Consider the following 12,130-nt stretch of genomic DNA (forward strand, 5'->3'; position numbering starts at 1 on the left):
TCATACTTCTTATTAATTTTAATTAAAAAAATTCATCTGAAGTAACATATAAGTAAATAGAAAAAGTTTTAAACAGAAGGATAAGTTTAGCAGAGACTCACAAAAATCTCATTTTACAAGAAGTTCTAGAAATTACAATGCCATCCATGTTTTCATGTCTCAGGGAATGAGTCTAGTAGCTTTCAAATGCTGACACAGTTGAAAAATTTCTAAAAAAATTAGAAAATTCATCGTTTAAAAAATTGTAATATCTCTTTTATATGTATCAAAACCCTTACTAAACAATGAGTTCTGGGTTGCAAAAGAGGATTTATTTTTTGCACTTCTCTATAAGTCTTTGTTCACAGTTAAACAAAAACACAAGTGCAGTCATATGTTTTATTATTATTAGTTAAAACTTCCAAAATTTTTGTTGTACAAAAATTAGAGTTACAAACAACTTAACAGCAACCTCTCCCCGCACCAAATAATCCCATTAAAAATGGGCAAAAGACCCAAATAGACATTTCTCAAAAGAAGACATACAAATGGCCAACAGGTATTTGAAAAAAGGTTCAACATCACTAATCATCAGGGAAACCCAAATCAAAACCACAATGAGACACCACCTCACCTCAGTTAGAATGGCTATTATAAAAAAAGACAAAAAATAACAAATATGGATGAGGATGCAGAGAAAAGGGAACTCTTATACACTGTGAGTAGAAATGTAAATTAGTATAGCCACTATGGAAAATGGTATGGAGTTTACTCAAAAAACTAAAAATAGTACTACCATACAATCCAGCATTCCTACTACTGGGTATTTAGCCAAAAGAAAGCAAATCCAAAAGAAAGTATATCAAAAGGATACCAGCGCACCATGTGTATTCTAGCACTATTCACAAAAGCCAAGATATGGAATCAATGTAAGTGTTTATTGATGAATGAAGGGGTAAAAGAAAATGTGGTATATATATACAATGAAATGCTATTCAGCCATAAAAAGGAATGAAATCCTGTCATTTGCAGCCACATGGATGGAACTGGAGGTCAACATATTAAGTGAAATAAGCCAGGCACAGAAAGACAAATATTTCGTGTTCTCACTCATCTGTGGAAGCTAAAAAAGTTGATCTTACGGAGGTAGAGAGTAGAATGATGGTTACCAGAAGTTGGGAAGGGATGTTCAGGGGGAATGAAGAAAGGTTGGTTAATGAGTGTGAACATGTAGTTAGATAGAAGGAATAAGTTCTAGTGTTCAATAGTTCTGTAGGGTGACTATAGTTAATACTAATTTATTGTATATTTTAAAATAGCTAGAAGAGAAGATGCGAAATAGTCCCAACATAAAGAAATGATACATTTTTGAGGTAATGAATATCTTAAATACCCTAATTTGATCATTACATATTGTATGCATGTATCAAAATATCACATGTACCCAATAAATATGTACAGTTATGTTTCAATAAAAATATCAGCATTCATGTCTGAATATTAGCAAATACTAACATTATTCTACCCATTGCTTTATATCAGGTGTCCAGTTCTTGGTGATAATGATCAAGACATTTATACATTGCTCTTTTGATTTTTGCTGGCAGCATAAGACCAGCATCTTTTGTCATTTCTCCTGGCATTCACAGAATGATGGAATCAAAGTAACTCAAATTCTGTTCCTTAACTTCTCTAATCACTAATATTATTGTTATTTTGAATCTACTGTCTAGATGCAGGGGTATGTGGCACCATGGGGTTGGGCACGTGAAGTCAGCTTGAATGATTTTCAAACTGTCAGGAACTTATTCAAAACAAATGTGTGTGGCTGAGTTCGTGTGTATTGGGGCGTGACTGTATAACTGGGAGTTTGAATTAACTTCTAAGTAGAATGCAAGCTATAAAGGATAAGTAATAAAAAAGTGCTAATTTGAAGCTTACATGCATATTATTAAAACTCAGTAGTAACAAAGCAATGGTTTAGAACTTAGACCCACAAAAGCTTTTATTTGGGAAGGAGTGCTTTATCACTGACATTGTTTGGAATTGCCGGCACATGGTGATAATAAAAAGCAGACTGACTTCTAGTTGGCTTTATTATTGTTTATAAATTCTCTACAGATTTCTTTATTGCCTTCCCCCAGGCAGACTGCTTTCCTTGCCCAGCCTTTGGTACACCACTGCATCCAGCTATTGTGGTGGGAGCAGAGGATGCCACATAATACAGAAAAAGGCTTCATGGGCTCATTCTGAGTTTCAGAGACTGTACTCAGAGAAGAGGGCATCAGGTACCAGCTCCATGTGGTGACTATTACATTTTCCTTTTTAGCTGCTTAGCATTAAACACATACACACACACACACACACACACACACACACACACACACTATACACTTCATCCCATATGTCCCAAGATGCTCCTATTCAACATGACCTGATAACCACAAATGCAATGAACTACAGTGCAAAGTCACACCAACTACTGAATCCAAGGTTACACCACAGAGCCATTTTTTTCTAAATCTAGATAGCTGGGTAGTCTTCATTCCTTTTTTAGTTATATTGAGATCCCATCTGATATTCATCAGGCTATGGATTACTTAGTAAATGAAACCGCTAATAACACACCCTATCCTCAAAATCTATGCCAACAGAATATCCCCAGTCTTAATGATATTCCTTAGCTAGTCTCTGTGTATAACTTCTTTCTTCTCTGCATTGATTCTGCATAACCCCATCTAGTCCAGGAAGAGTTCAAATGCTGGCCGTACAGTGGGCATTGCTGAACAGAGGGAGCCCAGTGGGCTGGATTGTTAGTTTCTTCTGGTTGGTGGGAATGGTGGTGCAATGTGGGAACATTTCAGAGAGGCCAGAAGGCTTTCCCCAGTTCCTCTGACTCCTCCCATGGTATCTCAGTTTCCATCTCTAGGATTTTACTCTTTCCTGATCATGCTGTATCTACATATGAAACCTAGTTTATACATGCAAGTGGAGGTATAATTCAATACCTTAAAACATCAATTTCTAAATTTGGTTTTTTGTTATTTCAGGCTAGTAGCTAGTGGGATCATATTAAGACTTTGACTTTGATTTTACGCCTATAGGAGAGACTTACAGGACTAAGTTTGCTGTTCTTTTACATTAGGTTATCCTGATACACTCAAAACAACCATCTAACCTGTGGTCTCAGCTTGTCTCCTTTCTTTCAAATTGCTTATGGTGCCAGCTACTGGGTCCCCCAATACCTTTTTCCCAGTTTCTAGTTGACCACAAGAAATTCATTTATTGCTGTTTTGCTACTTTTTAGCAAGCATTCCTAATTTCATATCTCCAAATATAGAGTAGATTACTGCCTTCCTTCACTTCCACCTCAATAAAATGACCCATTACATTTTTCTTGAAGGTCTAGAATTCACAGCATACTCTCTAGAAACAATTCATAAATTATTTATTTTTCCTCTTATTTGAAAACATTAGATACTGACTCTAGTTGGTTTTGGCAAAAAATAATGAGGCGAGGACATTTATTGAAAAAAATATAGGCTAGGCACAGTGGCTTACACCTGTAATCCCAGCACTTTGAGATGCCAAGGCAGGAGGATCACTTGAGGCCAGGTGTTTGAGACCAGACTGGGTAACATAGCAAGACCCTGTCTCTACAAGAATAAAAATTAAAAAATTATCCAAGTATGGCGGTGTGCACCTGTAGTTTCAGCTACGTGCTACTTGGGAGGCTGAGGCAGCAGTATCACTTGAGCCCAGGAGTTTGAGGTTATAGTGAGCTGTGATTACACCATTGCACTCCACCCTGTGTGACAGAGCAAGATGCTATCTCTAAAAAAAGGAATACTAGGGCACCTATAGAGGGCAAATTATTGAATAAGCAACTAACCTGTGGGAAGGACAGAAACCAGGGCCATGCTAAAGGCCTTAGTAGTGGGAATTTGTGACCCTTCTGTCTGGAACCCTGCTAGTAATGTGAATCAGCCTCAGTGAAAGTCAGGTTTAGTGTTTCTGAGGATAGAATCTGAAGTTGGCCCAGTTTAGAACTGGCATCTGACTACGGCCAGGGCAGGATTATGCAGTACAGAAAGGGTCTGCTGGGGGATGGAGGTAGTTGTGCAGCCTGTGTATCACAGGTTGTACCAAGAGAAGGGGCAGTTCTTGTGAGACAGGCAGCTTCCCCAACAAGTATCCACTTCAGTTTGGGAAATGAAGGTTATTTCCTCTGCTTCCTTCAATCATTTTGTCCTGCAATGTTTACCACTGTCTGTACACACTAGGACGCACTAGATAGCGTCGACTGACTGATTAAAACATTCATTATCTGAAAATAGGAGATTATTAGACTAGGTTCAAGACCAACATGGCTTTTGGATAGGAAGATACTGGTGATTTGGTAAGGGAGAAAAGAAAACAAGGAGTTGATTCTAAAATCCAGAAGTGATAATTAACAAAAAAATTATCAATGTGTGTGACTCTGAGGCTTTTCCTGGCATCCTTAGCTCCGAAAGAGCCCTCTGCTCTCTGAACTTCCACTCTTCTCACCCACATTGCTCATTTGACTCTGAGCATGGTTATCTGCCGTGCCCTGTACATTCCTACATAGAAGTTCCATCTCCCAAACCACACTACAGGATCCCCAGGGAGAGAATCCATGTCTTACATTTATTTTTTTTGAGATTCTCAATATATTTTAGTATCACTTAGGGCAGTTTTTATTCCCTGGCCTCTTGATTCTCCATTTGTACATGTTTATTTTCACAGGTGAGTTTTAGACTCTCTTTATCATATTAGCATATTCTTACAGTTTTTGTATCTCCAGTACCAAGCTGTTATCCCCTCATACACTAAACAGGTAATTAATGTACTTTGCTGAGGACAATATGATAAGCCATACAGAGGGGTTTGTCATAGACATAAATGGGAGAATTAAGTTTTTCTATTCACACCTTTTTAATTTAAAAAATGTTAACTTGACATAGCAATGACTGTGTAAAATTGATATTCCATTTAGAACAAGATTTAAATCATTACACAGGTAGAATTTGTTCTGTTTTTTATTCACCATTAATAAACACCATTAATAAAAACCAATTTCTGGTTTCCTTCCCTTCCTTCCTTCCTTCCCTTCTCTCTTTCTGTCCCCTTCCTTCCTTCCTTTTTTCTTCCTTCCTTCCTTTCGTTTTTCTTCCTTTCTTTCTTCCTTCCTTCCTTCCTTTCTTTCTTCCTTCCTTTCTTCCTTCCTTCCTTTCTTTCTTCCTTTCTTTCTTTCTTTCTTTCTTTCTTTCTTTCTTTCTTTCTTTCTTTCCTTTCTTTCTTTCTCTTTCTCTCTTTCTTTCTTTCTTTTCTTTCTTTCTTTCTTCTTTTTCTGTCTCTCTTTTCTTTCTTCCTTTTCCCTTCCCTTTTCCCTTTCCTTTCCTTTCCTTTCTCAGAGTATTGCTCTGTTGCCCAGGCTGGAGTGGTGCAGTGGTGCAATGCAATCGGCTCACTGCAACCTCCACCTCCTGGGTTCCAGCAATTTTCTTGCCTCAGGCTCCCAAGTAGCTGGGACTATTGTGCCACCACGCCCAGCTAATTTTTGTATTTTTAGTAGAGACAGGGTTTCATCATGTTGGCCAGGATAGTCTCAAACTCCTGGCCTCAAGTGATCAGCCTGCCTCGTCCTCCCAAAGTGTAGGGATTACAGGCATGAGCCACCACGCCCAGCCAATTTCTGGTTTTCTTTCAAGCTCATGCAGATAACACATTTCTAACTCTAAATTAGATAATGTCTATAAGAGATCTAGCAAGCTCCTTTGTACAGAGTAGGTACTCAGCAAATACCAACTAAAATATAGTGATTATAAAAATAACTCACAGTGAATCATTTTTAGGCTTAACCCTTTCATTTAAGGCCCTTTGGAGCTCTTTAACGTCTTGATTCCTGAAATCCTTTATAAGAAACTTTTATTTAGCCCAGTGGGTCTCAAAGGCTTGAGGCAGGGCTTGACCAGTAATCAGAACCCTCCTGAAGGTATTTTTTCTGATTCCTTTCCCCACCTTTTCCTTTCACTCTTTTGAGAATCAACAAGAATTATGTTCTCTCTCAGGTGCTCCATGTGGAAAAATATATTGAGATCACTTAGCCTTGTCTTTTCTTTCTTTCTTTTTCTAAACGAGAAACACTTAAAACTATATGTTTATGATTTACCTGAGGAAAGGCTGTCTTTTTTTTTTTTTTTTTTTTTTTTTTGCCTCTTTCCTGCTGTCAGATAAAAGCAGAACTGGAGAGAAAAATTATGTTGCAGGCAACATAGTCAAAATAGTTCCAGAGCTGTGTTGCTAACCCAGCTTAAAGTTTCTCTTTGCCCCAGACTTTTTTTCTTCTAAGAAAAGCCTCTATTCTAAGAGACTTGCTCTTCTTAGAATAGCACCGGCAGACATAGAGCAGTTTACAGCTTGCCTTTTTATAAAGACAGCCCATTTTCAAGAGGAAGAATAAGGAAGGAAGGGTCTAAAGACAGTGTCTGGGCTCAGATCGCACATTCCTACCTCCTAGCTGTATGATCTCTCTCGGCCTCAGTTTTCCATCTGTAAATGGAGATAATACTAGCTTCTATTTTATAGGGTTATTAAGAATTTAAAAAGCACTTGGCACATAATAAATACTCAATATATATTAGTTCACATTATTTTATTTTTATTTGAGACAGAGTCCCGCTCTGTCACCTAGGCCAGCGGAGTGCAGTGGCACGATCATAGTTCACTGCAGCCTTGAACTCCTGGGCTCAAGCAATCCCCCCACCTCAGCCTTCCTAGTAGCTGGAATCACAGGCATGAGCCATCATGCTCAGCTAATTAATTTTTTTTTTTTTTTATAGAGACAGGGTCTCACTACGTTGCCAAGGCTAGTCTCAACTCAAACTCCTGGGCTCAAGCGATCTTCCCATCTCTGCCTCCAAAAATGCTGGGATTACAGGCATAAGCCAACACACCTGGCTGCTCTCATTATTTTTAATGGACATCTAATTATTGAAAACTTGCTATGTGCCAGCCACTGTGTGTGTACGTGTGTGCGTGTGTGTGCACATAGTATGTGTACAGATACCCACATACTATGTAATATTTATTTATTGTGAGTCTGCCCTAATCTTCATGGAGGAAGGTTCTTAGCCTGTTTTACTCACTGCTGTATTCTTGTACATGGAACAATGCCTGAGACATAGGAGGCATCCCAAAATATTATTATATTATATATATATATATATATATATATGTGCATATATACACATTTATATTCACACGCATACAGTTATATATACACACATATATCTATATATACACCCATATGATTACACACATACACATACATAATTAAAAATGCATTTTCTTGCCAGAAATCTTGATACTAAACTAGGAGTCCAATTAGCTAGCCAAGAGCAGATTATGAGAGATTTGGTTAGCACAATCCAATTTCAGGAAATATCTTAGTATATAAATCCTGAGGTTTCGAGAAGGTAGAGAAGAGGTTAACACAGCAACTCTGACGGAATCGAAGAGGAGGGAGTGGGAAGTTGTTTCCAGTGAGATGATGCTGAGGGAGGAAGAGAGACAGGGGAAGCTGCCAGACCAGAACTGGGGAATCTGGGTTGTTAGAGCGTTGGTGCTGATTGGCTGATTGGTGGCGGTCACAACCACCCTGATTCCTCCCTCCAGCGGGGCTGCCCTGGGTTCTCACAGAGTTTGTTTGGGAAGGGGGTGAAGGCGGGTTTGCACCCTTTGCTGGTCATTTCCAGGGCTTTCTCTGGACCCTGCATCTAGTGAAGCAGTAGCTGCTTCTCTCTAGCCATCCAAAAGTTGCTTTTCTGTTTACGTCAGTTTGCTCTGTTTCCCAGAGCTCTGGGAATTGCTTTAAATGACAATTTCTGGACATTGTAAGTCCTTTGCTGAGTCACTGCTGAAGAACTTTCCGGCAAAGTAGTCTGAGACTCCACTGACTAAGGCAACAGGCTACAGCACTAGAGCCCTAGCAACAGGCCTAAACTAAACAGAAATGGATTTTGAGGCTGCTAAGTGCTTAACATGGGGGAGAAAAATCCCAGGTATCCCTGACAGCTGAGCCACCCACTCTCAATCTGGAACAGCCTTCCCCCATGTCCTTTATTCCCAGGAGTCACAGGCTGCAGAGACCTCCAGCTGCAGGGCTCCCCTAATGCTCTCAGTTTCTCCTGGGGCTTCCAGGAGAGCAGAACCCCCACTGGCCTGCCCATCCACTTCTCCATCCTGGTGTCCCTGGAGACAGTCTAAGCATAAATGCTCAAACCAAAGAATGTGAGGGGCTGGCATGGATCACTTAATGTGCTATCTGCTCTTTGGAGAAATGGCAGAGATCCACATAAAATGTAGCTTAGCAATCACATACTAAGCCAGTAGATATCTAATAATGTTAGTCCGGCTCATTTGGGAATTTTTGAGGCTTAGGAGTATTCAGCATAATTCCATTTGTTTAGCAAATTGATGATGTAGAAAGAGAGATTCCTATCCACTTAAACAGTAAACTACTTTGGCAGCAAGCTTTCATACAACAACAATTATAAGCAAATTACAAATGGTTTTATCTATTTGGCAATGGTGAGCCTTTAAAATGAGCTCATTTATGTAAGCATTCATTCATTAAAAACATAGTGAGAGCTTGCTATGTGGAAAGCTGCTAGGCAAGTGGAGAAGGCTGATCTCCATTAGAAGGAATGAGTATTTACTTTGCTGCACATAATGTTGGGTGCTTTTCCAATCTTAGCATTTAATCTTTGCAACAACTTTGTGAGGTAGGCATGGCAAAGACTGGTATTTGTTCCCCCATATTCATTCTTAGCTTTATTTTGGTAACAGAACCTTCCTACTCTGAGTTTTGGTAGTATATGTGGCTTCCCAGTTATTGCTGAATAGGATGACTGAAGAATCAGAGGCCTGGGATTGCTAAGCCTTTCTCAGCCTCCCTTGTAGCTAAGTGTGGTCATATCATTCTAGTCAATAGGATTTGAACAAAAGTGACTGTGCAACTTTAGGGGTGAAGTCCTTATAAAAGGAGCTATTTTCTCTTTGCTTGCCTTCCTGGGATCTAGAAAGAGATATGGTTGTGGAGCTGATGAGTAAGCTTTAGTTTATCTGGGCAATGGCAGAGCAATGAACAAAAAGAAGCTGGGGCCATGGATGGCTTGGGAGAATAGAGTCTCCTGTCTGTCCTCATCTGTCTGTCCATCACCTTGTCATTATGTGAAAGAACAAAGGTCTTATCTGAGTCTTTCTCTTTAGGGGATCTCCTTGCTTCATAAGCCTAATTTCTACAGTTCTAATATAGTAATAAGAAAGCTACCCTAATGATGAAAAATGTAAAGAAGTTAGGCAAATGTTCTGAAATCTCTAAGGAATTATATGGCAGAGCCCAGACTCAGACTCAGGTCTGCTGTGTTCTGCTACATCATGTCACCTTCCTTAAAATAAGCAGACAGACACAATGTGAACCCCCTGGGTTTCTCAAGAAAAGGAGTTCTGCTGTTGCTGCCATGAGATTTTAGTGGTTCATCTTTCAAAACGTCTACCAGAAGGGGGAGGCTCCCACCTTTATTGAATACCTACTGTGTACCAGGAACCCTGTTGTACACTTTACGTGTGGCATTGCACTGAAGACACAAATGCACACAAATGCTGCTCTCAAACTACGCAAAATGACATGTACTTAAATAGTTCCACATGAGAGACAGAGAGTGCTAAGTGAGTGCAGAGGAAGGAGAGGATGTACCTGGCTGTGTGGGATTGGGAACAGCTTCAAGAAGGAGGTGGCACTGGATTTGAGTCTTGCAGAATAGGTAGTATTTGGGGGACAAGGCATTGCAAGTAGAGAAAACACCATGAGCAAAGGATGAGGAGCAGGAGAGCACTAGAAGCAGGTCCTTCTTAGCATGTCCAGAATGTAAGCTCCCTGATGAGAGCAGGTAGGTGACAAGGACAGGTAGGCTGATGTCAGATGAGGGAGGGCCTGGAGTGGCAGGCTAGAGAGTTCAGACTTCATGTATGGGGTTGAGGGATGCCTGCAGAATTCTGAATAAGATGTTGGAAAAATCAGAGCTTCAGAGTTGATGAGCATTTCTAAGCCATGACTGTGTCCCAGGCGCTGGACAAAGATGAATCTACCAGTAATGGGGACAACAGAGTGGAGGAGGACAGACAGGAAACCAGAAGGCCAGCAAGGAAGCTAACTCCGAAGCAGCAGCAGGAGAGAGGGGTGGGGACGACAGAAGAGATGTTGCAAGGGCAGGACTGACAGCACTTGGCAGCCTCCTGGGTGTGGGAGGTAAGGGAGCAAGAGGAACCCAAGATAACACAGAGGTTTGTTTTTGTCTAGAAGCTTGAAGGAGAGAAAAATTACTTAAAGATATTCTGGCTAGCTGTTTTCTTAATTAACACACGGAATGGGAAGTTTTACAATAAGCTAAAAAGCCCTCTCTTTTCTAAGGAATAGTTTATAATTAGATATATAAAAGATATGGTTACAGCACATTCTCTTTCTCTGAAGATAAAAGCGTTGGCAGAGAATTAGGATTAATGATCCTCTGTGGAGACTAAAGCAGCTCCATCTTGGATGCTAACCTGCCAGGTTGACTTCTGATTAACCCCAGTTCCAGGAATGCCTTTTAGAGCTCCAGTTTATCTATTGTTCTTTGTGTAAGAACATCTACACATCTTTTCTTTCTTTCTTTTTCTAAAAGAGAAACACTTAAAAGAGTTTCTTTTCTAAAAGAGAAAACACCTTAAAGCCTGCCCTTAGGGCAAGTCCCTACTCATTCCCTCTGAGGCAAGTGTGCCCCTCCCCTGTGGTATATAATCCCTGGGTCTGGTGGGTAATGGTAGGGGGATCCACCATCTTGTCTTGTGGCCAAACAAGACACAGACATGGCTTCTGTTCATTACATCCTTACTAAATGTTTCTTTCTAAGAAACTGGATTTGTCAGCCTCTTTCTTTGGCCTATCAGCTAGAAGACCACAACAATGTTATCAAGGCCCTAGTGTGTGCCTCTGGTTGATATATAAAATTTTAACTGTCAGATAACTTTTTAATTTGCAAATTTATTCAAAGTTTGAAAATACCTTGGAGAGTCTTAGAAATCTCAGAAATTAGTGACTGGGATATCTCTATATTCATGATATCTATAAGTTTCCTGCATATCCACTCAGAAGGCTTCTGAAAATAGGGGTAATATGAGAAGTTAATAATTGTTACGTCTGGCTTCCTCTTTCTTTGCCTTTCTCTCTTATATCTTCAATCTTCTTTTTTCACTGGACACGGATAACTCTTTGGGAAGTGCTAAACTCTCACAGTAAAGTCAAATCAGAGTTAAAGGCAAGTGTTTAACCAATCATGTTCAAATACAAGCTAGCATATGAAGAATTTTAGGCTCAAAGACTCAAATCCTCTGCATTCCTGAGAAATCTCAGTTTCTTATTCTGGGAAATGTTTTCACATTGCACTTTGCTGCCACAGCCAAATGGGTATATCTTTTTTAATTTTTATTACTAAAAGGTTTAAATTGGGATTTAGATTAGATTTAAATTAGGAAACTGAAAGAAAACATTTTGTATCCATGCATTTTAAAAAAATCCACCCATAAAAAGAGAGCTAGGTGTCCATTTCTGATGTGGGGGCAGTGTTCTTGTGGAGGTAATGTAAGCTAGGTTTGTCCACTTCATTTCTTGTGTTTTGACAGATTCTGTGGTGCTGCTGTTGCCTTGTTCAGGTTCAGAAAACTCACTCAGTGGTGTTGCAACATCCTCATAAGGCAGCTTGTCTTACAGTCAATCATTCTCAATCAAACCCAAGATCCCCCATCTCTCTGTACCTCACTATCCAATCTCCTGAAACCTTGATTTTTATCAGATGGGCACCTGGCTCAGCACAGCACCCACTTCCAGTGGGCCAATTTTGGTTGATTTTTGTCCCCTCTCATTCTTCCTCCACTGTCTTACATCTTGGCCCCTGTATGAAAGCTATGGTGAGACCAGAGCTGGGGCCCCATCTTTCCTTAGTGAGGACCAGCAGAGCTGTGAGCTCTTGTGTGGGTTGGGGTGCATTGGGTGGCAAGAGTGGGAAGCAGTTGGCATCTTTTTGGGATC

The 12,130-nt window shown here is 39.9% G+C and overlaps 1 non-coding gene and 1 pseudogene across 1 annotated transcript, besides 2 other annotated features; both read right to left on the minus strand.

Moving 5' to 3' along the window:
- Positions 1–246: 246 nt before the first annotated feature.
- On the minus strand, positions 247–368 carry LOC124900444 (small nucleolar RNA SNORA40). The gene has a single exon (XR_007067399.1). It is a non-coding gene; the product is annotated as a small nucleolar RNA SNORA40 (small nucleolar RNA).
- Positions 10,183–10,358: a silencer, noted in NCBI's record as "fragment chr1:118241179-118241354 (GRCh37/hg19 assembly coordinates)". NCBI's record gives its function as "represses an EF-1alpha promoter that drives an FKBP-Casp9 reporter gene in an ReSE screen in HepG2 liver carcinoma cells {active_cell/tissue: HepG2}" and the evidence as "EXISTENCE:reporter gene assay evidence [ECO:0000049][PMID:32094911]".
- Positions 10,407–10,986: an enhancer, noted in NCBI's record as "NANOG hESC enhancer chr1:118241403-118241982 (GRCh37/hg19 assembly coordinates)". NCBI's record gives its function as "activates a minimal SCP1, AML or CMV promoter by ChIP-STARR-seq in primed H9 embryonic stem cells {active_cell/tissue: H9 hESC(primed)}" and the evidence as "EXISTENCE:reporter gene assay evidence [ECO:0000049][PMID:30033119]".
- LOC100192389 (anaphase promoting complex subunit 13 pseudogene) lies at positions 11,055–11,885 on the minus strand (annotated as a pseudogene).

This window comes from Homo sapiens, chromosome 1 (assembly GCF_000001405.40).
Source record: "Homo sapiens chromosome 1, GRCh38.p14 Primary Assembly".
Lineage (NCBI taxonomy): Eukaryota > Metazoa > Chordata > Mammalia > Primates > Hominidae > Homo > Homo sapiens.